This window comes from Homo sapiens, chromosome 3 (genome assembly GCF_000001405.40).
Source record: "Homo sapiens chromosome 3, GRCh38.p14 Primary Assembly".
NCBI lineage: Eukaryota > Metazoa > Chordata > Mammalia > Primates > Hominidae > Homo > Homo sapiens.
This window is the reverse complement of record NC_000003.12, coordinates 165,294,074-165,321,958: the sequence shown is the minus strand read 5'-3', so window position 1 is coordinate 165,321,958 and position 27,885 is coordinate 165,294,074. Positions and strand designations below refer to the sequence as shown.

General features: G+C 34.5%; 1 long non-coding RNA gene across 5 annotated transcripts in view; it reads right to left on the bottom strand.

The window, feature by feature from the left end:
* The window catches only part of LINC01322 (long intergenic non-protein coding RNA 1322), a 332,490-nt gene that overhangs the window by 217,479 nt on the left and 87,126 nt on the right, over window positions 1-27,885 (bottom strand). The window contains exon 2 of one of the 5 annotated variants that reach the window (NR_174100.1): window positions 21,325-21,459. The exons of the other annotated variants lie outside the window; for them this stretch is intronic. This is a non-coding gene — a long non-coding RNA (long intergenic non-protein coding RNA 1322). The remainder of the gene's footprint in view (window positions 1-21,324; window positions 21,460-27,885) is intronic. 5 annotated transcript variants of the gene reach the window in all.

Below are 27,885 nucleotides of genomic sequence, written 5' to 3'. Positions count from 1 at the left end.
TCGTGGCTGGCTTCACCACCTGCTGATTGTAGAGCTCTAGGGCCTTGAACAAACACAGGTGGTAGTCAGGTAATGGTTATAGTGAACCTTGGGTGAGACCCAGTGCATCAGGTCTCACCTGACATGACACCAGTTGCGGTGGCCACAGGGGTGTTTGTGTCACCCCACCCCCAGCTCCAAAGCTTTGTTTTGGAGAAAGAAAGGGTGGAACCAAGAATCTCTGCCTAGAAATCTATGGAATTCTTCTGGATCTTATGCAAGACCATCAAGTTGGTACCTCTAGGAGTACGCAAGAACCATAGCGTTACTGGGCTTGGGGTGCCCCGCTAATGCAGATACAGCTTAGATCTCAACACCCAAGTCTTTTCAAATGAGTTATTGGCCTTAAAGAAGAGGTAGAAAAAGAGATAGGAGTAGAAAGATTATTTCAAGGGATAATAACAGAGAACTTCCCAAACCTAAAGAAAATATCAATATCCAAGTACAAGAAGGTCATAGAACACAAAGCAGATTTAATCCAACGAAAACTACATCAAGGCATTTAGTAATCAAACTCCCAAAGGTCAAGGATAAAGAAAGGATTCTAAAAGCAGCAAGAGAAAAGAAACAACATGCAATGGAGATCCCGTATATCTGATAGCAGACTTTTCAGTGGAAAACTTACAGGCCAGGAGCGAGTGGCATGACGTATTTAAAGTGCTGAAGGAAAAAATCTTTTATCCTATGTATTAGTCCGTTCTTGTATTGCTATAAAGAACTACCTGAGACAGAGTAATTTATAATGTAAAGATGTTTAATTGACTCACAGTTCTGCAGGCTGTACAAGAAGCATGGCTGGGGAGGCCTCAGGAAACTTACAATTATGGAAGAAGGTGAAGGGGAAGCAAGCACATCTTACATGGCCAGAGAATGAGGAAGAGGGTGAGCAGGGAGGTGCTACACACTTTTAAACAACCAAATCTTGTGAGAAGTCACTCACTATTACAAGAACAGCATGGGAGAAGTCTGCCCCCATGATTCAATTACCTCCTACCAGGCCTCTCCTCCAACACAGGGGATTACATTCAACATGAGATTTGGATGGGGACACACATATCACCCTAGAATAGTATATTCAGTGAAAATATCCATCATACATGAAGGAACAATAAATACATTTACAGAAAAACAGAACCTGAGGGATTTTATCAACATCAGAGCTGTCCTACAAGAAATGCTAAGGATAGTACTTTAATAAGCAAAAAAATGTTAGTGAGGAATAAATCTGTGAAGGTACAAAACTCACTAGTAATAGTAAGCACACAGAGAAACACAGTATATTATAATATAGTAACTGTATGTGTAAACTACTCTGACTAAAAAGACCAAGAAGTGAACCATTCAAAACTAATAGCTACAACATTTGAAGACATAGTACAATAAGATATAAATAGAAACAACAAAAAGTTAAAAAGCCGGTGGAACAGAGTTAACGTGTAGAGTTTTTATTAGTTTTCTTTTTGTTTGTTTATTTATGAAACAGTGTTATCACCTTGAAATAATGGGTTATAAGATAGTATTTGCAAGCCTAATGGTAAACTCGAGTCAAAAAATATGCAACCAATACACAAAAGAATAAAAAGCAAGAAATTAAATTATACCACCAGAGGAAGTCACCTTCACTAAAAGGAAGACACAATGGAAAGAAGAGAAGACCACAAAACAACTAGAAAACAACAAGAAGGCAGGAGTAAGTCCTTATTTATCAATAATAACGTTGAATGTAAGTGGACTAAACTTCAATCAAAAGACATAGTGATTGAATGGATAAATAAATAAGACCCAATGATCTGTTCCTTATAAGAAATACATTTCACCTGAAAGGACTCACAGAAACTGAAAATAAAGAGTTGGAAAAATTATTCCATGCCAAGGGAAACCAAAAAAGAGCAGGAATAGCTATACTTATATCAGACAAAATAGATTTCAAGACAAAAACTATAAGAAGAGACAAAGTACATGGCTAGCTAATGATAAAGTGGTCAATTCAGCAAGAGGATATAACAGTTGTAAATATGGGATCAGGTGTGATGGCTTATGCCTGGAATTCTAGCACTTTGGGATGTCGAGTTGGGCAGATCTCTTGAGCTCAGGAGTTTGAGACCAGCCTAGAAAACACGGTAAAACCACATCTCCACAAAATATATAAACATTAGCTGGGTGTGGTGATGCATGCCAGTAGTCTCAGATATTTGGGGCAGAAGGATCGCTTGAGCCCGGGCAGTACCGGTTGTAGTGAGTGGTGATTGTGCCGCTGCACTCCAGCCTGGGTGTCAGAGTAAGACCCTGTCTCAATAAACAAACAAACAAACAAACAAACAAACAAACAACTGTAAATATGCATGCATCCAACATTGGAGCACTCAGATATATAAAGCATATATTATTAGAGCTAAAGAGAGATACCTCAGTACAAAAATAGCTGGAGACTTCAACACTCCACTTTCAGCATTGGACAAATCTCAACAAACACTGTACTTAATCTGCACTATAGACCAAATGGACCTAAAATTTATTTACAGAACATTTAACTCAATAGCTACAGAATACACATTCTTTTCCCCAGCACATGGATCATTCTCAAGGATAGATCATATGACCACATGTTAGGTCACAAAACTAGTCTTAAAAAACGTTCAAAAAATTGAAATAATATAGAGCATCTTCTCTGACGACAATGGAGTAAAACTAGAAATCAATTAATAAAGCAATTTTGGAAACTATAAAAACACATGGAAATTAATATGTTCCTAAATGGCCAGTAGGTCAATGAAGCTTATCCACCATGATCAAGTGGGCTTCATCCCTGGGATGCAAGTCTGGTTCAATATATGCAAATCAATAAATGTAATCCAGCATATAAACAGAACCAAAGACAAAAACCACATGATTATCTCATAGATGCAGAAAAGGCCTTTGACAAAATTCAACAACCCTTCATGCTAAAAACTCTCAATAAATTAGGTATTGATGGGACATATCTCAAAATAATAAGAGCTATCTATGACAAACCCACAGCCAATATCATATTGAATGGGCAAAAACTGGAAGCATTCCCTTTGAAAACTGGCACAAGACAGGGATGCCATCTCTCACCACTCCTATTCAACATAGTGTTGGAAGTTCTGGCCAGGGCAATTAGGTAGAAGAAGGAAATAAAGGGTATTCAATTAGGAAAAGAGGAAGTCAAATTGTCCCTGTTTGCAGATGACATGATTGTATATCTAGAAAACCCCATTGTCTCAGCCCAAAATCTCCTTAAGCTGATAAGCAAATTCAGCAAAGTCTCAGGATACAAAATCAATGTACAAAAATCACAAGCATTCTTATACACCAATAACAGACAAACAGAGATCCAAATCATGAGTGAACTCCCATTCACAATTGCTTCAAAGAGAATAAAATACTTAGGAATCCAACTTACAAGGGACGTGAAGGACCTCTTCAAGGAGAACTACAAACCACTGCTCAATGAAATAAAAGAGGATACAAACAAATGGAAGAACATTCCATGCTCATGGGTAGGAAGAACAAATATCATGAAAATGGCCATATTGCCCAAGGTAATTTATAGATTCAATGCCATCCCCATCAAGCTACCAATGACTTTCTTCACAGAATTGGAAAAAACTACTTTCAAGTTCATATGGAACCAAAAAAGAGCCCGCGTCACCAAGTCAATCCTAAGCCAAAAGAACAAAGCTGGAGGCATCATGCTACCTGACTTCAAACTTTACTACAAGGCTACAGTAACCAAAACAGCATGGTACTGGTACCAAAACAGAGATATAGACCAATGGAACAGAACACAGCCCTCAGAAATAATGCTGCATATCTACAACTATCTGATCTTTGACAAACCTGAGAAAAACAAGCAATGGGGAAAGGATTCCCCATTTAATAAATGGTGCTGGGAAAACTGGCTAGCCATATGTAGAAAGCTGAAACTGGATCCCTTCCTTACACCTAACACAAAAATTAATTCAAGATGGACTAAAGACTTACATGTTAGACCTAAAACCATAAAAACCCTAGAAGAAGACCTAGGCATTACCATTCAGGACATAGGTATGGGCAAGGACTTCATGTCTAAAACACCAACAGCAATGGCAACAAAACCCAAAATTGACAAATGGGATCTAATTAAACTAAAGAGCTTCTGCACAACAAAAGAAACTACCATCAGAGTGAACAGGCAACCTACAAAATGGGAGAAAATTTTCGCAACCTACTCATCTGACAAAGGGCTAATATCCAGAATCTACAATGAACTCAAACAAATTTACAAGAAAAAAACAAACAACCCCATCAAAAAGTGGGTGAAGGACATGAACAGACACTTCTCAAAAGAAGACATTTATGCAGCCAAAAAACACATGAAAAAATGCTCACCATCACTGGCCATCAGAGAAATGCAAATCAAAACCACAATGAGATACCATCTCACACCAGTTAGAATGGCAATCATTAAAAAGTCAGGAAACAACAGGTACTGGAGAGGATGTGGAGAAATAGGAACACTTTTACACTGTTGGTGGGACTGTAAACTAGTTCAACCATTGTGGAAGACAGTGTGGCAATTCCTCAGGGATCTAGAACTAGAAATACCATTTGACCCAGCCATCCTGTTACTGGGTATATACCCAAAGGACTATAAATCATGCTGCTATAAAGACACATGCACACGTATGTTTACTGCGGCATTATTCACAATAGCAAAGACTTGGAACCAACCCAAATGTCCAACAATGATAGACTGGATTAAGAAAATGTGGCACATATACACCATGGAATACTATGCAGCCATAAAAAATGATGAGTTCATGTCCTTTGTAGGGACATGGATGAAATTGGAAATCATCATTCTCAGTAAACTATCGCAAGGACAAAAAACCAAACACCGCATGTTCTCACTCATAGGTGGGAATTGAACAATGAGAACACATGGACACAGGAAAGGGAACATCACACTCTGGGGACTGTTGTGGGGTGGGGGGAGAGGGGAGGGATAGCATTAGGAGATATACCTAATGATAAATGATGAGTTAATGGGTGCAGCACACCAGCATGGCACATGTATACATATGTAACTAACCTGCACATTGTGCACATGTACCCTAAAACTTAAAGTATAATAATAATTAAATAAAAAAAATAAAAATAAAAATAAAAAAATATAATTTCACTTACAACAGCTGCAAATAAAATTAAATTCCTAGGAATTAAACAAGGAAGTGAACACTTTTACACTGTTGGTGGGACTGTAAACCAGTTCAACCATTGTGGAAGTCAGTGTGGCGATTCCTCAGGGATCTAGAACTAGAAATATCATTTGATCCAGCCATCCCATTACTGGGTATATACCCAAGGGACTATAAATCATGCTGCTATAAAGACACATGCACACGTATGTTTACTGTGGCATTATTCACAATAGCAAAGACTTGGAACCAACCCAAATGTCCAACAATGATAGACTGGATTAAGAAAATGTGGCACATATACACCATGGAATACTATGCAGCCATAAAAAATGATGAGTTCATGTCCTTTGTAGGGACATGGATGAAATTGGAAATCATCATTCTCAGTAAACTATCGCAAGAACAAAAAACCAAACACTGCATATTCTCACTCATAGGTGGGAATTGAACAATGAGATCACATGGACACAGGAAGGGGAATATCACACTCTGGGGACTGTGGTGGGGTGGGGGGAGGGGGGAAGGATAGCATTGGGAGATATACCTAATGCTAGATGACGAGTTAGTGGGTGCAGCGCACCAGCATGGCACATGTATACATATGTAACTAACCTGCACAATGTGCACATGTACCCTAAAACTTAAAGTATAATAAAAAATAATAATAATAATAAATAAATAAATAAATAAATAAATGATCTCTACCATGAAAACTATAAAAAAAGATGTAAAAAATTAAAGACACAAAAAATGGAAGGATATTTTATGTTCATGGTTTCGAAGAATCAATATTGTTAAAGTGTTTCTACTACCCAAAGCAATCTACTGATTTAATGCAATCCCTATCAAAATACTGATGCCATTCTTAACAGAAACAGGAAAAAAACTGTCATAAAATGTATATGGAACCATAAATACCCAGAATAGGCAAAGCTATTAAAAGCAAAAAGAATAAAACTGGAGAAATCACATTACCTGACTTCCAACTATAGTACAGAACTATAGTAACCAAAACAGCATGATGCTGGCATAGACACTGATGCATAGTTAGTAGAACAGAATAGAGAACCCAGAGATATATCTATACGTCTACAGTAAACTCATTTTTGACAAAAGTCCCAAGAACATATATTGGAGAAATGACTGTCTCTTCAATAAATGGTGCTGGGAAAACTTGATATCCATAGGCAAAATAATGAAACTCGACCCTTATCTCTCATCATGTACAAAAGCCAAATAGAAATGGATTAAATACTGCAATCTAAGATCTCAAAATATGAAACTACTAAAAGGAAACCTTGAGGAAACTTTTCAGCACATTGGACTTGGTAAAGATGTTTTGAGTAATACCCTACAAGCACAGGCAACCAAAGCAAACATGGAAAAATGGGATCACATCAAGTTATAAACTTCTGCACAGCAAAGGAAACAATCAACAAAGTGAAGAGACACCCACAGAATGGGAGAAAATATTTCCAAACCACCCATCAGACAAGAGATTAATTAACAGAATACATAAGTAGCTCAAGCAACACTATAGGAAGAAAATCAATAATCTAATTAAAAAATGGGCAAAAGACCTGACTAGACATTTCTCAAAAGAAGACATGCAAGTAACCAACAGGTATATGAAAATGTGCTTAATATTACTAATCATCATACAAATGCAGATCAAAACTACAATGAGATATCATCTCACCCCAGTTTAAAAGGCTTTTATCCAAAAGTGGGGCAATAACAAATGCTGGAGAGGATGTGGAGAAAAGGCAACCCATGTACATTGTTGGTAGGAATGTAAGTTACATTGTTGGTAGGAATGTAAGTTAGCCGTTATGAAGAACAGTTTGGAGGTTCCTCAAAAAACTAAAAATAGAGCTACCATACAATGCAGCAATCCCACTCTTAGGTACATACACAAAAGAAAGGAAATCAGTATATCAAAGAGATATCTGCACTTCCTTGTTTGTTGCTGCACTATTCACAGTGGCTAAGATTTGGAAGCAACCTAAGTGTCCATCAACAGATGAATGGATAAAGAAAATGTGGTACATATACACGATGGTATATTATTCAGCCATAAAAGGAATGAGATCCTGTCATTTGCAACAACATAGATGGAACTGAAGGTCATTATGTTAAGTGAAATAAGCCAAGCACAGAAAGACAGACTTGGCATGTTCTCACTTATTTGTGGAGGCTAAAATTTAAAAGTAGAAGGATAGTTACCAGAGGCTGCAAAGTGTAGTGGGGGTTTGGGGGAAATTGTGGATAGTTAACAGTTACAAAAAGGTATTTAGAAGGAATGAACAAGACTGAGTACTTGCCAGCACAACAGAGTGACTACAGTCAGAAATAATTTAATTGTACATTTAAAAATAACTCAGAGAGTATAATCGGATTGTTTGTAACACTAAGGATAAATGCTTGAGATGATAGATATCCCATTTATCCTGATGTGATTATTACACATTCCATATTCATATCAAAATTGCTCATGCAACCCATAAATATATACACCTACTATGCACCCACAAAAATTTTTAAAGTGCAATATATGGTGAAATGCCAATTATTAATAGTATTAAACTAATATTATCAATGCTAATCCATGAACACACCCCCTATCAAAGCACAATGTGTTCTAATATATAAAATTTCACTATTGGGATTTATGCAGCAAGGTCTTCTTACATATACTGTGTTACACTGGGTATTTCAGATAGCACAGGTACTGCCGTACAAGTTACATGTTAGTTTATAAATAATTATAAAGATCTCAGCATGATAATTTTATCAATAATTTTATTAATTATTAGTTTTCAATAAAAGAGAAAGGTGCCAATTAGATTTGGATAGGGAAGATAAAATTAAGATTTTCCTAAGAATTTCATAATTAAGCTGCCATTTATTCTAATATTGTAATAGGCCTGAACAAAGACAACCAAAGACATTTAGGCAAATGTGGATCTTTGGAATTCAAGAGAAGTGGCAAGAAGGCATAGCAGAGAGTACAGTAAGGAAGGAACTTTTATCAAAAGAAAAGTTGATGAAAACATACTATAATAATTTTCAGTATTTTTGCACATTATTAGAGCTATAAATGAGACTTCTGTAACTCTGAGTTTTGTAGGTTGTTCAGGCCTTATCCTTTGGTATTTAGCTTATATCTAGAATTGCTCTCTGGTGAGCATATGGAACCAAACATATGAGTAAATTCAAGAATATCTAAGCAATTTTGACTCACCTCCTGGTCCAAAACAATGTCCATGTATTTTGAAAGTTTGCCAGAACATAGTGACATCTCTGGACAACGTAGACTGTGGTAGCTATGTGGTAGCCACCATTCAAGAGAAATTAGTTATGTAAACCAAGTTTACTATCATTAGGGATATCACAACTACTACAAGATTATTTTACGTACAGCAAAAAAGATACTAAAATAGTTAGTCTTTGTTTTATTTAAACTATATGAAGTAAATAAGTGAAGGGCCAAATTACCCAAACCACATCCATCTTTCCACTTAGTACAAGAAAAAATGTCATATTGACATGAAAATTTACAAATGAAGATACCTATCTAGGAAAAATAAAAAACTTGTCTCTTGTCCACCAGAAACTAGTTAATTTTTTATCTCGCTAAATACATTCTGATTTTTTCTGTTTGTTTTCTATGACTATTGCAAGATAGAGCATTTCTTCACATGCCGTCGTCTTCCTCATACTAAATTCCCATTAATACTTTCTCGCTCTCTCCACTCTTCATATATATATATATATATATATATATATATATATATATATATATATATATATATATAAATGCCAAAGGAAACAAGCATAAATTAAGCCAGATATCTCTTTAGGACTGCCCACCAGAGACAAACTTTATTTCTGCCTAAAGTCTTTAGTAAAATGATATATTTTAATTTTCAATATAGTCTTACTCCCAATCTCATAATTATGTTCTACACTTTTATTTATCCCTGGGCTTGCATTCTGGCCCCATCTCCTTGTTACTAATTTCACAGAGAGAAAACTATTTAGATACCTGAATATAATTTAACACACATAATGGAATAGGGATAAAAACCCAAAACCCACTTCTTAGAATAAATTATAAAAATAAGAATAAATTATTAAAAATGAAAATACCTAAAATAGTGACTAACAAACGAGGTGCCAAGTGAATGGTGGCTTTCTCTCTTTGTTTTAGTTCAAGGGGAAAATAGCATGTGCTTTGAAAAATCAAGGTGATGAGATAGACAGTGCTTTAAGTTTAAAATGAGAATAATAATATTTAAATACCTGTTCCATCATTTAATAGCTACTGAACACACACAAGTCATTCAAAATCCCTGGAACTCAGTATTTTTCCATGTAAAACAGGGATAATACCTGTTTTGTTTTCATTATGATACTGTTATAAGAAAAAATTAAATATGTTTGAGAGTATTTTAAAATATACACCTTTATTATTGTTGCCTTATCATATATTAATTAATCTGCTAGGCATTTCTGAGGCTACAAATAGATACAATAATAGAGCATTGGTCTCTGTTTTCAAGGCTCTTAAAAGAAAGCATTAAAAAAAGAGATTTATTTGTGAGAAAAATGAGATAATCCAATGAGGTTAAACTGAGACTCTTAAAAAATTTATAAACTCTTGATCTCAGAGTAACAGTCAGCTAGGGTCATCTTTTCTGGCATATAAAATCTATTATAAAAGTGTATTAATAGCACAAAATCATAAACCCTCTGTAGCCTTTGAAAATGACTTTCTCAAAAAAGAAATGTTCTGCTTGTATACATCTGTACTTCCTGTTGAAAGGCTGTTTATTCCTCAGTTACATAAAAATCTAGAAGTTATCTTTTTCACTCTGATATCTGGCTGTCAGTTTCTGGGACTCACTGTGCTGAAACACTATCTCAGACCATCAACAAATACTACATTTCCAGATCTTTAGCATTTATTGTTCCTGACATCTCTTGAGGCCACTGCCTGTACTTGTTTTCAGCCTCTGTGAATTAAACTGCCCAAGCTTTCATTAGGAGTCAAAGCAGAGGAGGTGGCATTCTGTAGATATCATGAGGTCGCCATCTATCTAAACATCTGTGCTGAATTTTTTGCCACAGGGTCTTGCATTGATTATTAGCTGGGATAAATCCCAAAATACTGTGTTTTCTAAAGAGAACCAGAACATGGCTTTGAACCCAGAGTAGATAACAGAAATGTTGCATAATTATAAATCATCTGCAGAATAAATTCATCTGCATTCATTTTTGGAAAGAAGACTATTCTTGTTTCTTTTATCATTTTCTTGTGCAGTGTGCAGCTTTAGGAAGGATAAAGCCAAAGGTCATTTGTTTCTATAATAGAAATACATCATCTTATTTCAACAAAGATATCTTCTGGCTTACATATATACCATTAAAATTGTATTATAATATATACATAAATTATGATTTGTTATAACATACTTGCTTTAGGTTTCTTGGAAAATCTTCTCTAAGTTTTTTTGTAATATATTTGTCTATTCAATTTACATGGTAGGATTCTTAGAATCATAACATTTAGAAATCATTTGGACCATTCCCTATTATTTTACAGAAGAAAGTGAAGCTTATAGTAAGTGAATTACCCAAGATTACTCTTCTAGTTAGTGATATCTTATTTTCTCATATTCAGTCAATAGATTTTTACCACAAAATGCTGCCTGCCTTGGGGGAGGGATCATTTTTTATTATTTCCTGAGGTTATTTTCTCTATTCCCTATATTCTTCGCCCTCTATCATGCCAATAAGGAAAATATGCATATTTTTGTTGTATATATTCAAGTTGCGGTTAAAAGAATGGTTTAAATAGTGGAAGGAAATAAAAAATGTGAGATTAACAGGCAAAAATTCACATAGAATTTTAATAAAAATCTGTTGAAGACAGACATGGGAAACTACATTTTGTACCAATGTTTATTCATAAATAGTAATCTATTTGAAAACTTCAACAACAATGTTTACTAAGCAAGTACCCTTATAAATGCTTTGATAATTTCACTTAGTATCAAGATAATTCTATTGCTTAGGTTTTATTTTTATCGTTCCTTTAAAATTTTTATTTTTAATTATTGTGGTACATAATAGTTGTATATACTTATGGGGTACATGTGATGTTTTGATACAGAGATACAATGTATTATGATCAAATTAGGGTAATTGGGGTATCTGTTACCTCAATCATTTATCATTTCTTTGTGTTAGGAACATTCCAATCCCACTTTTTTACTTATTTTAAGATGTACAATAAATTATTGTTAACTATAGTCACTCTTTTGTGCTACTGAATACTAAATCTTAATCATTCTATCTAACTGTATTTTTAAGCCCATTAACCATCCCCACTTTATCCTTCTCTCCCCCACTACCCTTCCCAGTATCTGGTAACCATCGCTGCATTCTATATCTTTCTCAGCTCAATTTATTTTTTTTTTTAGCTCTTACATATAAGTGAGAACATCCAATATTTGTCTTTCTGTGACTGGCTTATTATACTTAACATAAAGACCTCTAGTTTCATCCATGTTGTTGCAAATGACAGGATCTCATTTATTTTACAGCTGAATGATATTCCATTGTATATATGTAGCATATTTTCTTTGTCCATTCATCTGTTGATGGATACAGGTTGCTTCCATATATTGGCTTTATGAATAGTGCTGGAATAAACATGGGAGTTCAGATATCTCTTGGATATACTGTTTCCTTTCTTTTTAAATTATACTCAGCACTGGGATTGCTGGATCATATGTTAGTTTTATCTTTAGTTTTTGAGGAATCTCCTTACTCTTCCCCATAGTGGCTGTACTAATTTACCTTCTCACCAATAGTGTATGAAGGTTTCCCTTTCTGACATCCTCACCAGCATTCATTATTGCCATTTTTTGGTTAAAAGCCTAGCAGGGGTAAGATGGTATCTCATTGTAGGTTTGATTTGCATTTATCTAATAATTAGTAATGTCGAACATTTTTTCATGTACTTTTGGCCATTTGTATGTCTTCTTTTCAGAAATGTCTATTCAGATCTCTTGCGCATTTTTAAAATTTATTTTTTATTTTTAATTGTGGTAGGTACATAGTAGTTATATATATGGGGCACAGGAGATGTTTTGATACAGTCTTGCAATGTGAAATAAACATATCATGGAGAATGGGGTATCTATCTCCTCAAGCATTTATCCTTTGAGTTATGAACAATCCAATTACACTCTGTAAGTTATTTTAAAATGTATAATTAAGTTATTGTACACTGTTGGTGGGAGTGTAAATTAGTACAACCACTACAGAGAACAGTTTGGAGGTTCTTCAAAAAATTAAAAACTGAGCTGCTATAAGATCCAGCAATTCCACTGCTGGGTAGATGCCAAAAACAAACAAACAAACAAAAGGAAATAAGTATATCCAAAAGATGTCTGCACTCCTATGTTTGTTGCAATACTGTTTACCACAGATATGATTTGGAAGCAGTCTAAGTGTTCATCAACAGATGAATGGATAAATAAATTGTGGTAAATTATTTTTTAGTTTTAATTTTTATAGATTTAGGGATACAAGTGTAACTTTGTTACATGGATATATCAATTAGCGGCTTTTAGTTTACCATCACCTCAATAGTGTCCATTATACCCAATAGCTAATTTTTCATCCCTCACCTCGCCTTCCATTATCTTATCTTTTGGAGTTTCCAATGTCTATTATTCCATTCTGTATGTCCATATGTACCCATTGTTAAGCTTCCACTTGTAAGTGAGGACATAAGATATTTGACTTTCTGTTTCCGCATTATGTCATTTAGGATAATGGCCTCCAATCCCACCAATGTCAGTGCAAAAGACATAATTTCATTTTTTATAACTGAGTAGTATTCTATGGTATCTAAAAGTATTGCCATTACTTTTAATGGCAAAAACTGCAATTTATTGCTATTATGCTCCAATTGTGTTTGTACCAACCTATACTAACTTACATTCCAATCAACAGTTTCTGAGGGTTCTCCTTTCTCCATATCTTTGTTAGGATTTGTTATTACCTTTCTTTTGAATAAAAGCATTTTAACTGGGTTAAGATAATATATCATTGTAGTTTTGATTTGTATTTCTCTTCTTATTAGTGATATTGAACATTTTTTCATGTCCCTGTTGGCCATGTATATGTCTTCTTTTTGAGAAATGCCTATTCAGATCAATCATAATTTTTTTTCTATTGAGTGGTTCAAATTCTTTATATTTTTGGGTTATTAATTCCTCAGCAAATAAGTAGTGTACAAATGTATTCCCTTGTTCTGTGGGTTGTCTCTTCACTTTGCTTGATTGTTTCCTTTGCTGTGCAAAAGCTTTTTAGCTTGATATGATCCCGGGGTTTCTTTGCTTTGGTTCCCTGTGCTTTTGAGGTCAGACTCAATAAATCTTCGCTCAGACCAATGACTTGGAGTGTATCCCCAGAGTTGTCTTTTTTTGTTTGTTTTGTTTTGAGACAGAGTCTCATTCTGCCACCCAGGCTGGAGTGCAGTGACACGATCTCAGCTCACTGCAACCTCTGCTCCCCAGGCTCAAATGATGAGCCTCAGCCTCCAGAGTAGCTGGGAATACAGACGGGTGCCACCATGCCAAGCTAATTTTTGAATTTTTGGTAGACATGGGGTTTCACCATGTTGCTCAGGCTGGTCTTGAACTCCTGAGCTCAAGCGGTCCACCCACCTTGACCTCCCAAAGGGTCAGGATTACAGACATGAGCCACAGTGCCCAGCTGGATTTAAGTCTTTAGATCCATTTTGATTTGATTTTTTATATAATGAAAGATAGGGGTCCAGTTTCACTCCTCTACATATGGATATACAGTTTCTTCAGCAGTATTTATATATATATATAAAAAACCTGTCCTTTCACTGATGTATATTTTTGGCATCTTTGTCAAAAATGAATTCACTGTAAATGTATGGATTTGTTTCTGGGTTCTCTACTCTGTTCCATTGGTCCATGTGCCTGTTTCTATGTCAGTACCATGCTGTTTTGGTTACTATAGTTTAATAGTATAGTTTGAAGTCGGGTAATGTGATTCTTCCAGCTGTCTTCTTTTTGCTCAGGATGGCTTTGACTATATTCTGTGTCGTTTGTGGTTCCGTATACATTTTAAAATTATTTTTATATTTCTTTGAAGAATTGACATTGGGATTTTAAGAGGCATTGCTTTGAATTTGTAGATTGCTTTACGTAATATGCACAGTTTAACAATATTGATTCATCCAGGACTATCTTTTCGTTTTTTGTGTGTCCTCTTCCATTTCTTGCATCAATGTTTCCATTTTTATTACAGGGATCTTTCACTTCTTTGGTTAATTTTTAGGTTTTTTACTTTATTTGTAGCTATTGTAAATGAGCTTACTTGCTGTATTTCTTTTTCAGATTGTTTGCTGTTGCCATACAAAAATGCTACTGATTTTTGTATGCTGATTTTGTTTACTACTTATAATTTTACCAAATTTATCAGTTCTAATAGTTTTTTTTGGTGGCATCTTTAGGTTTTTCCAAATAAAAGATTATATTGTCTACAAACAAAGATAATTTTATTTCTTCCTTTTTAATTTGGGTGTCCTTTATTTCTTTCTCTTGTCTGATTATGATGGCTATGACTTCCAGAACTATGTTATTGATGAATAAAAGTGGCAAAAGTGTGATATCCTTGTCTTGTTCCATATCTTAAAGGATCTTCAGATTATTCCCCTGTTTATTATGACACTAGTTGTGGGTTTGTCATATATAGCTTTTATTGTGCTGAGATATGTTTTTTCTATACCCAGTGTTTTTGAGAATATTTTTTATCATGAAGGGTTGTTGAATTTTTAGTATGCTTTTTGGCAGAAATTGAAATGATCACATTGTTTTTGTCTTTCATTCTGTTGATGTAACGTATCACACTTACTCATTGTGTATATTGAACCATCCTTGCATCCTTGGGATGAATCCTACTTGGTCATGATGAAGGATCTATTTGATGTGTTGTTGAATTCAAACTGTTAGTGTTTCATTGAGAATTTTAGCATTAATATTCATCAGATATATTAATCTTTAGTTTTCTTCTGTGTTGTGTCTTTTTCCAGTTTTAGTGTCAGGGTAATATTAGTCTCACAGAATACATTTGGAAGTATTGCCTCCTCCTCAATGTTTTTGAATAGTTTGTGTAGGATTAGTGTTAGTTCTTCTTTAAATGTTTGGCAGAATTCAGCAGCGAAGGCATCAAGTCCTGGGTTTTTCTTTGATGGGAGACTTTTAAATTATTACTATTGCTTCAATCTCATTACCTGTTTTTGTTCTCTTTAAATTTTGAATTTCTCTGTGGTTTAATCTTGGTAGGTTGTATGTGTTTAGTAACTTATTTATTTTTTTGAGGCTTTCCAGTTTATCGACATATAGTTGCTCATAGTAGTCTCTACTGATCTCTTGAATTTCTATGTTATCAAATGAAATGTCCCCTTATTCACCACAGGTTTGAGTTATTTGAGTCTTTTTTTTTTTCTTAGTCTGGCAAAGGTTTCTCAATTTTGTTTATCTTTTCAAAATAACTTTTCATTTCATTGATCTTTTGTATTTTTAGTCTTCATTTCTTTATTTCTGCTCTGATCTTTATTATTTATTTTCTTCTTCAACTAATTTTGGGTTTAGATTCTCTTGCTTTCTGAGTTCTTTAAGATGCATCATTAGGTTATCTGAAGTTTCTTTTTTATTTTTTCTTACTTTTCTAATGTATAATAGATGTTTATCACTATGAACTTCCCTGTTGGTACTGCTTCTGCATTTCCATTTTCATTTGACTTAAAATTTTTTTGAATTTTCTTCTTAATTTTTTCATTGACCTTATTGTTGTTCAGGACCATATTGCTTAATTTCCATGTGCTTGTATACTTTCCAAAGTACCTCTTGTTATTAATTTCTAGTCTTATTCTGTTGTGGTCAAAAAAATATTTGATATAATTTTCTTTATTTTAATTTTTGAGACTTGTTCTGTGGCCTAACATATAGTCTATCCTTGAAAATGTTCCCTGTGCGGGGGAGAAAAATGCATGTTCTGCAACTGTTATCATTTCTTTTTACAGAAGAGGAAAGTGAGTTGCTATATAACTTCACAATTAAAATGTATATGGCATTTTAATAGTATAAATATTTATTTTAATGAATTTTACATGTTTAAATTATTTAAGATATGTAGAACACGTATGTCATATGTCCTGTAATTACACATTTGTCTTAATATGACTCTGTGTTCCTGTGACCCCTATTTTTCTATATTCTAAGATCTTTGATGGAAATATTGAGGTATCTCAGAGGGTACCTAAGTAAAATTTAGTCACATAATTAGCCTACAATAAATACTACATCAATGAATAAATAAATGCATTAAATAACCAGCATTTGCTATAAATGGGTTAAAGAACAGTATTGCAATGGCTGATCAGTTTTCCTCCTTATAGAACTATTGTTCTCCCTAAAAACTTGCAGCTCCAAAACAACAATTAATTTTTTTTTTTTTACCTGTAACTCATCTTCAGTAGGCTTGGAAATAATTGATTTATAGAATTTTCAATTCAATCTCTCCCAAAAGATGAATTAAATTCTTTTTGTGTTTCTCTTACTGCTTGTATTTTACCTCATTAGGAAATCGAGGACTGTCTGATTAGCTTTTATCTAAATTTACTGTCACCTAACTACCTCAGAGACCAATGGTTTAACTAAGATTGGAAAATACAATTAATGAAATTATCAGAAAATATTTCCAATAAATTACTGTATCTCATTTACCTTCACAATTCCATAATCTGTCACAAACTTGGCTTACTTATCTACAAAAGCAGACTAATAATCTGTCATCCGTATTTAGGAAAGACTATTTTCTTCAACTTTCTTACTGAAATAATTAATTAGAAAATAATATTCTCCACCTGATCTTATGAAGGCACAAACTGAGAGCTTAGTTGAGGCAGAACCTAAGGACTTGAAAGCGTGTCTCTCTCATAACAGATGGAACATGTAGTATTGACGGTACCCCCAAAATCTTAACATACATAAATTAGGGGAAAAGAGTGGAATGAGAAGCATTATTCATTTCTTATCTCAAAATGAAGAATATTATCTCACTTATATTGTTAGGTCTTTTACCTCCATAGAAAACATCTGCTTTAACTTGTATTAGTACAGCAGGATGTAAGCAGACCTGGTAAGTTCTAGGGACTTGAATTCAAATTATTTCTTTATCTGGGGCTCAAAGTTAATTTTTCAGATCTCTAACGTGGGCACACTTAAAACATTTCAACACTATATTCTGTTAATAGAGTTGTCAACATTAGAAGAAAAATTGAGAACTCCAGGAATTATTATATTTTTCTAGAGTTAATGAAATAGTTTCTACTAACATTCATTTCCAGTTCCCACCAACCCTGCGTCTATGATTAGCAGAGACATGTCATAGCAGAATTGTATTCCTAAAGCATGTAGTGAAGGAACCACCACTCTCCACTACAGTACTATATTGTTTCTACTTTAAGGTAAGACCATCATAACTTCCATTTCCTTAGCAATGGATTTCTTTCTGCATTGCTGACACTGCTGAATAAGAAAAAGCCGCAGATATTAACAGCAGCACAAACAATTGTCTGTATAATTTAGTTATTAAAATTTCTATGTAAAAGTAAAGATACTATAAAATATTCTTTTACAAAACAAAATTCTTATTACAAAAATACAAAATCACTGTGTTTTAATCCTCTTAAAACATCTCTCTTTAAAGAAAAATGGCACTAATGTTAAATTCACTGAAATAAAGCACATGTCATTAAAATTACATTGAGGCATTCTTGAAAGACACAGCACCACAGGCAATCCCAGGATGCCCTAGTGTCAGATTCTGTGAGTTAGTCAGCCACATATTTAACACTATAGAAGTATGAGGTTGGTAAATGGAACTTTCATGAGTCAAGAGCATAACCTTCCAATTATGTTCAAAAATTTCTTCTTGTATAAAAGATAATATGATGTACTAGGAAATACATATGTAAAAGCAAAATTCTTCAAATCACATTACTTTTAAAGACTTTTTTTAAGTGTGCAGAAACAATTTCTTTTTTACAAAGTGATTCACAGGTACAGAAGACTGTAATGTAAGCCAGCTGCCCTACCCTTGCTTCCATCTGTCAACTCCTTTCATAACTCAAAGTTCTGATGTAAACTGAAAGCAAGCATCAGGCACACATAAATGAATAGTTTTTCCTATGTATTTTTTGTCATATCACATTGTGGTGTTTTGACTGCCACACAGATTGATATAGCAGATAAAATAATAAGGTACTGAGAGGTAACCAGTACAACAGAACTAAACACAATTGAAGCATATATGGTAGCAACACTTGTCTATAGCAGAGCTACTGCAATGTTGTATTTTCTGTTTACATAATATAAATATAATGGCTCTTGTAACTTTTTGTTTTCTTTTTGTAGTCCTATAATATTTCATGTTATGTTGCTTCTTTCCATGTTCTATTGTATATTCCATATAAATAATAGTGCTTATATTTAGTATAGACTTGTATAAAGTCTTCATTATGTATTCCTCATTACAGTTTTCCTAACTCTATGGAGGCTACATCCAATAAATATGCAAAGCTATCCCTAATTGTGAGTTTTTTAAACTTGTGGGATTCTAAAACAATCCCAACTGTAAAAATATGTCCTATTAACTACTATTATTGTATAATAAATTTGAATTATGGTTTCTGATATATCCAAATAAACATATGTACAACTTCATCAATACCATATTAGAGGATACATTCTAGAATTTCATTAATTGAACAGAATCACCTGGAGAAACTTAAGATTTTTCTAGTCTTCAATTAAGAAATGAACTAATACTTATATGATATTTACCTATTAACCAAAATTAAAATGCTCTAGAATAAAAAAAATCATGTGAGAATGCACATATTTATTCTGAAATATACATGTGTGAAAGCAGAATTTAATCAATACCCTGCAGTATTGAGTTTAGGTCTCAAATCTAAATTGGTGAACTATGAGCTTTGCAGATATTTCCTAGGGAACAATTTACAACAACCTTGGGCTACAATGGATATGTGAATGGAAACCTGGTGATTTTCCAGATTTCTTTGTTGTTTAGCTTTGAATTCACCCAGGGAATTGCTTAAGCCAGCAATATAACCTTCAAGGGAAAAAATAGGTAGCATATGTCCAGCGTGCCTAGATAGTTTCAAGTTTCAAAACAAGGTAATGATGATGCTTTAACTCAAATATGATGCTGAAGTATTATACACAAACTTACATCTGTAATACCATCCAAGTAAACAGTAAGAGATAAGTTAATGTTTAAAAAATGAATAACTACATGGGGGTATCCATCTATCTCTCTACTCTAGCAGATCATATATAAGCTTGTGCAGGGAATGGTTTTCTTCTGTCTATTATAAAAATTGTATACTGAAAAATATTGTTAGTATATAGGTTTCTGATTTGAGGCCCTGTTTCTCTTAATCTCTATAATCTACCTGAGAAACCAATTAATCCACATTCACTTCGGATGAATGAACTCAGATTTTTTTTTTTTTTTTTGAGACGGAGTCTCGCTCTGTCGCCCAGGCTGGAGTGCAGTGGCGGGATCTCGGCTCACTGCAAGCTCCGCCTCCCGGGTTCACGCCATTCTCCTGCCTCAGCCTCCCAAGTAGCTGGGACTACAGGCGCCCGCCACTACGCCCGGCTAATTTTTTGTATTTTTAGTAGAGACGGGGTTTCACCGTTTTGGCCGGGATGGTCTCGATCTCCTGACCTCGTGATCCGCCCGCCTCGGCCTCCCAAAGTGCTGGGATTACAGGCGTGAGCCACCGCGCCCGGCTTTTTTTTTTTTTTGAGATAGAGTCTCACTCTGTTGCCCAGGCTGGAGTACAGTGGTGCGATCTCGGCTCACTGCAACCTCTGCCTCCTGGGTTCAAGCAATTCTCCTGCATTCAAGCAATTCTTCTGCCTTAGCCTCCTGAGTAGCTGGGACTACAATCCCGTGCCATCATGCTTGGCTAATTTTTGTATTTTTAGTAGAGATGGGGTCTCACCATGTTGACCAGGCTTATCTCGAACTACTGACATCAAGTAATCCGCTCACCTCTGACTCCCAAAGTGCTGGGATTACAGGCGTGAGCTACCATGCTCGGTCCATGAACTTAGATTTTATATTTTTTAAGTATGGATATATAATAGTTGTAAAAATGTATGAAGTATATGTGGTATTTTGATACAAGCATACAATGTGTAATGATCAATCTGGGTAATTGTGATATCCTACATCTCAAACATTTATAATTTCTTTGTGTTAAAGGCATTCCAACTATATTCTTTTTGTTATTTTGAAATACACAATAAATTATTGTTGACTGTAGTGGTTCTATTGTGCTACCAAAAACTAGGTCTTATTCCTTCCATCTAGTTGTAAATTGTACCCATTAACCATTCCCTTTTTATTCCCCCAAACCCCCAGATGCCAACTATGGAAGACTATATCAGCAGCAGTTATTTCTGTGGAAACTAAAGCATTGGTGAGCTAATATCTCTCTACTGGGGCATTCACTAAATTCTTAGTCAGTCAGTGTTTTTACCAAAAAAAAAGGTATAACACTCCAAAACCAGTAGGTAATTATTTCAAACCTTTTCCGCATTCCTATTTCTTTGATTGTATGCTCCCTATGCTTGCTGTAAGATTTTTGTTTTAACAATTTATTATGTAATTTGGTTTGAATACTCTAGACCATTGTTTCCAAAAGTGTTCTTCCAAGATGTCTAGGAAATTTTACTACCGGATTTTATGAGGGATTGGCTTCTCAAGATAATTATTCATTTAACAAAAGCTTGATGAGAATCAACAAATACACCAGGTTTACAAGGATAACGTAGTTGCCAGTGAAAATTTATCAATCATTTCTCAGACTAGTGGAGGAAGATTGGCATATAAGCAAATGAATTACAATATGGATGATACTTACTGTGACCAAGGTACAAATTTAAGGCTTCAGAATATCTATCTTTGTGTATGAGTTAGAAAAAGCCTCCCAGGAGATATAGGATTTAAGAAAAAGCTCAAAAGTTGATTTTTCGGAGTAAAGAAGGGGGAAGCAACTCTGAAAAGAAAAAAAAAATAGCATGGCAACAGGCAAAGTCTAAGAAAAAAAGTATTGAGTTTGCAAATTGCTGAAAAATGTGTTAATAATTGACATTTATAGGAGACACAACAAAGGGTAAGACACAATACAATTAACTGGAGAGAAATAAAAATCAGACACACTGGGTAGAGGCCTATTTGTCAGGCTAATGAATTCTGATTGCTCTTGAAGGTAAAGGTAAGCTAATGTGGAGTGTCAATTACCATTTTAAAAAGCAATAGAGAAGAAGACTAATAAGGGGAGCTAACTACAAACAGGAAGACTAGGTACACCAAAGAGTAAGCAGTTAGAAAAGCTGCAGTGACAGATTATGAGTTTAACTCTGGCAGTGGCACTGCAGGTAGAGAGAAGCCAGGCGCAAATGACTGTCTCCGGGTTACAGCTCAGTCAAGAACACGGTGAGCACATTGTCGGCTTTTGTGTGTGTGTTCCTGTGGCCAAAAATCTTTCAAGATCCACCTGGTATGAGCTACATGTTTATAAAGCACTATTATTTAGACAATATAAAATTGCCATCTGTCTATACTCTCCTACAAACATTCTTCTAATTTCTGCATTTTCCACTGGGTATGCTACAGAACCAGCAGCTCTAATAGACGACAACTTCAATCTCCCATCTTCAGAAAAACCCCAGTTAACCATGGGATATTTTTTCTCAGCTATATTACCTTGGACATCTGTAGAAGATACTCTTCCTTCATTCACATGAGTATTAGACTGAGTCCCTTTATCACATTGCTTTCCAGTATAAATTTCAATAAGGATGAAAAAGTTAGGGTTCCTTAATTTAGTTCCTAACTTAAGTTAGGGGTCCTTAAGTTCCCAGGGAGAAAAGGCAGCAGAAATCCAGATTTGTATGCAAATTTTCCCACATGAAAAAATCTGAGTGCCAAATGGTTTATAGGCAACTAGTTTTCAGCAGTACCAGGCTCACAGCTGTTAGTAATGATACATATTTAGTGAAGTAATTGACCTAGTATATAAATATTCAGGTTTTTTGAGGGTAATTGTCATGGCAAACACCCTGTGAAGTTGATGGCCAGTGTGAGTTCATGGCAAGTTTGATTCACAGACCAGACCAGACAGATGCTATCAGACTAGAAAACAAAATTATGTAATCACTTTCCTTTTTCTGGTGAGATGCAAAAGAACCCGTGCAGAAGCTAATTTATCCTATCAACACATTTTAACTGAGCGCCTCATCTTTACATTCACCAAGCTGAAATTTTGAACAAGATAGACATGGCCCATAACTCACTTGGATATTACTTTACAATAGGGGTAGCAGAGACAAAATAAACAAACCAATAAATAAAATTATTACAACTTGTGAAAATGGCTGTAAAGTGAAAGGGAAAGATCAATTAGATCACATTCCAGCAGAGAACAGTGGGTTGAGGGAGGCAGGCAGCAACATCTCAGGTGAATCTACTCTCTGCCTGTCAGACACTTCATTTCCCACATGATATTAAGCTCATTCAGAAGAAACTAATCTTATTCATTCATTCTAAAAATATTTATTGAATTCTTATTGATCATTTAATTCTGAAAATTGGGAACACTGACACCAATTGTTCTCAAATACTAAGTAGGTCCTCTAATATTTATACTAATCAGACTAATTCCTCCTTTTTGATGCAGTACATTTATAGAAATGGAACAATTACACTTGCCTAACCCCTTTTCCATTTGCCCCAAGAATACTCACTAGTGGTGCTTGCAGCTGCAGCATTTACCCCAAGATAACTTTGTCACAAAAATATCTCACTTTTATTATTATTTTTGCATCTTTCTAGTATATCGACTTTGGAAACAAAAGACATCATTCTATTTATAGCATTCTGGTTTTAGTAGTGGGATTTACATTTCCAAAATACAATAATCCTCAATTGCTGTAAACGTCATATCCTAGAACATGTAGCATTCCTATGCATGATGTTAACATCATTCTGTAGCAGTTGCTGGCTGAAGATTCACTTGATGAATCTGATTTTTCCAAAGTAGACAGTTGTGATGATTTAGATGATTCTGATGTTAGCTTTGTTTAGAAGTAACTCCAAGAACAGTTTGTATATTTTATTTTCAAATTGAAAACCAGTAGGGGGCCAAGCGCGGTGGCTCACGCCTGTAATCCCAGCACTTTGGGAGGCCGAGGCGGGCAGATCACGAGGTCAGGAGATCGAGACCATCCTGGCTAACATGGTGAAACCCCATCTCTACTAAAAATACATAAAAAATTAGCTGGGCATGGTGGCAGGTGCCTGTAGTCCCAGCTACTCGGGAGGCTGAGGCAGAAGAATGGCGTGAACCTGGAGGCAGAGCTTGCAGTGAGCTGAGATCTCCCCACTGCACTCCAGCCTGGGCGACAGAGCAAGACTCCGACTCAAAAATAAAATAAAATAAAATAAAACCAGTCAGATTTGCTTCAGCCTCAAAGAGCATGTTTATGTAAAATTAAATGAGCACTGGCAGTGAGCTGCGCATTTTGTTTCTAACTGGGAAAAGGGTTAACAGTTTCTTTTGCTGTTGTTGTGATGGTTAAAAAAGGAAAACAAAGAAAAAATAAAAACACTCACTGTGATGGTTAATTTTATGCATCAACTTGACTGAGCTAAAGGATGCCCAGATAGCTGGTAAAACATTACTTCTGAGAGTATTTTTAAGTGTGTTTCTGGAAGAGATTAGCATTTGAATCAGTAGACAGAGTAAAGATTGCTTTCACCAACATTGGTAGACATCATCCAATCTGTTGAGGGTCCAAACAGAAAAAAAGGTAGAAGAAGGTCAAATTCGCTTACTGTTTGCATTGAGCTATCCATCTTCACCTGCCCTTGAACATTATTGCTCCTGGTTTATGGGTCTTTGGATTCAGGCAAGGACTTACACCATTTCTTATGCACCCTTATGCTTTCATGCCTTTGACTCAGACCAGAATTTAGACCATCAGTTCCCCTCTGGTTATCAGGCTTTTAGACTTGCATTTGAGACTGAATTGCACCCCAGCATTCCTGATTTTCCAGCTTGCAGACAGCATATCATGGAACTTCTCAATCTTCATAATCACACGAGACAATTCTCAAAATCTCTCTCTCTCTCTCCTATTCTGGAAAACTTTGACTAATACACTGACTTAAGTGCAACATCACCAGCAAATATATAATTTGAGAGCAGATTGAACAAGAAAATATAGCATAAAACATTGCTTCCACCTTACTTAAAAAGAAGTAATGAATTCATTGTTGTGAGAGAGTAACTTAATGTATCCAAAATTAGACAGTCTCCTTATTTAAACGTACTGCAGTTTTAGCAAAGTTAAAAATAAAATCAAATTTCAAAGTAAAACTAAGTTAAGTAAAAGTATTTTTCAAAAGTACTGAGTTGATTTTAAGATGTGGTTATAAGAATAACTTTTTGTAGCATTATGCAAAGAGATGCATGTGATTACTGTCAAGAATCAAAGAGGAAGAACAATCTACAAGAATAAAGAAAATACAATATTACTGAGTCCATTCATATTGATAACTTTTTTATATACAGAAATTTATTAATTCACTGAAAAAAACAGTCAACATCTTCTTTTTTATATGTATTGCTTATTAAAAGTAATACCACTGTTTATCCTCCTGTTCTTACAAGTTTTTCTGAAGTAAATCAATGTTCTATTTTCTTCTACTAAGATTAAGAACAATGGAGTGTAAAAATTACAGTTAAACACTTCCTTTTTCAATTTACATAGTTTCCCACTACTCTGAAGTCCTTTAAGTATCTAAGTGGATAACTCTATACAAACAATTACCAAAGTGAAAATTAGAAAGCCAGAACTTAAACTGAATGTACTAAGATGTGTTTTATAAATATTTCAAAAGAATAATTCATGAAAAATGAAACAACAGATCCTAAGAAAGGTAACGAATACATGTTCTTAGCATACACTCAAAAGACAGGAAAGAAAAGAGTTGGACTGAAAATTCTCTGAGCCTACTTCGTCAAAATATTGGGAAAAGAAAAAATAGAAAGGGCTGAAATAAGATTAAGTCTTTGTTAATGGATTTAGCTTCTGTGGCAATGAAGCGGCAAGAAATGAAGAAAGAAGGAAAATAAATAAATAATTTAAAAAATGTTTAAAAATGGTTATTAATGCCCCATATCTTGATTTAATTAAACAACAAGAAATATAACTTTTTACTTAAGAATTGTGATATTTTTGACATATGACATAAATATTTTATAATCAAGAATAAAAAGGATATTGTAGAGTAACTTTCTATAAAGAAATAAATTCTAAACCATTTTATGATGAGTGATTAGTTTGTTATGAACCCAGAGTCTTACAACCTCTAAGAACAAAATACGGGGAGCTAGAATAAGTCACAGAGTGTCTAGAAGTGTGACTATCTGAACTTCACTGAAGGAAAGATAGATATAATTGAAGGAAAGATAAATACCTATGTTTCCTTCAGAAAGATGTTGGCCACGGGATAGATTTTGATTCTAGCTGCGATAATAAAGGAGGTAGCACTAATGGTTTAAGGAGATGATGCTCTGATACTTTCTATCAGAGAGGCCTTGATTTAAATTTCAAACTCTCACATTCAAAGCTTTGTAACTTTGCCTAAGTCATTTGAATTCTGTCCTTAGTTTCATGATCTGTAAACAAAGCTATTAATACGCATTGTATAGGTTTTATGAAGATTAAATGTAATAATATAGGTAAATACAAAGGTCTTAGTACAGTGTCATATGGCAGTTGGCATTCAACAAATATTAGTTATTATTCTTTCACAGGTTTTAGTATGGTGTCAGTCCTGCATAATCAGTGTTCAGATACAGTACTTTAGTCTAACAGCACATTAATAATTTATACTAAGAAAAATAATGGGACTAACAGGTTGTAACAAGAATGTGTTGCTTAAAGCAAATGGCTAGATAAGGAGGCCAAGAAAAAATTCAATGTCAACAGCAACAGAAGCTGTTTATATATTAATCACAGGCTTCAAATTGGGCCTGGGGGTATGCCAAAGGGCAATAAATGAGTGTCAGGTCAGCAACATTAACATCAAGTGCCTAGATTCCTGCTCTTTTAGGCAAGACTGTGCTAAAATACGGAATAGTGGACTGTGTGTCATAGGTATATGCTTTATGAGAATATATTCTGTAGTCAATAATAACTTACTTATACATTTTAAAATAAAAGAGTGCAATTGGATTGTTTGTAACTCAAAGAATAAATGCTTGAGGGGATGGATACCCCATTCTCCATGATGTGCTTATTTCATATTGCAAGACTGTATCAAAACATCTCATGTATCCCATACATATATACACCCACAAAAATTAAAAATAAGAAAGAATTGTTAATAAAGAATATATTCTGGAAATGCAGTTGATTCCAGAGTTTCAGGTAAAACAGAAAGACAAAGAGTGCAGTAATGTAAATAAAGATGTGATCTCAAAAATTGTGTAGCTTTTCCTGTGTGTTTCAGGGACTGCTGGTTAGCCTTCCTAAAAAGCAAACAGAAGCTCACTTAGTATTTCCTTAAAAATCCTTCAATGGCTGACTCCTCAATTTCTATATCTATAAGGCTATTGCTACCTAGATAAGGGTTACCGAAACCGATATACTAGCATCCAGCTGTGCTGGAGGCACAAATTTTCCCAAAAGCAGCCTTCAGAAACTGTCAGATGAATGTCAAAATACTGGCTTGAGAATAAGTATCTAGAAGGCCTTGTGGAAAGTAATCCTGGTTCCTAGCGTAATATCTTCAAGAAGCTCCTGGATAAATCAGTAAATTTGGACTTGGGTAAAATAACTTTATGGCCCATTATTCACTGGCTAAACATGCGGGTTATATTTCAGATTTTTGTATGGAGTACCCAGGTCCACTAAGAAATAAATACCAACTGGAGTGCAGATGGAAAGATGCACAGAAATTATACACATTTATTGTGGATTTAATAGAGATTTAAATTCACAATTAAAGTTGTAAATGCTATGAATTTCCTATGACAGACAAGAAAAAATGAATAATGTTGGTAGACTGATTTGTTGAAGGGCTTTGTATTTTAAGGAAGCAAATCACTTATCTATTATAAGATTTAAAAACATTTTCTAATTTCTGTGCTTTATCTCTTCATGCTTGTGGAAGTTATGGTTTTCTTTGGCAATCATAAGTCTTAAATTTGATTAAACTTAAATTTAAATTTTTATCTTTTAGAGTTCTAACACTGCTATCTTATTTTTTGGAAAGATTTCTCCATAATATTATTTGTAAAAATTCTTCCATATTTTATAGTTGCTTTAAATTCCTACATCTTTTTTAGTTTCCTTCCTTCCTTCCTTCTTTCCCTCTCCCTCCCTCCCTCTCTCCCTCTCTCCTTCCTTCC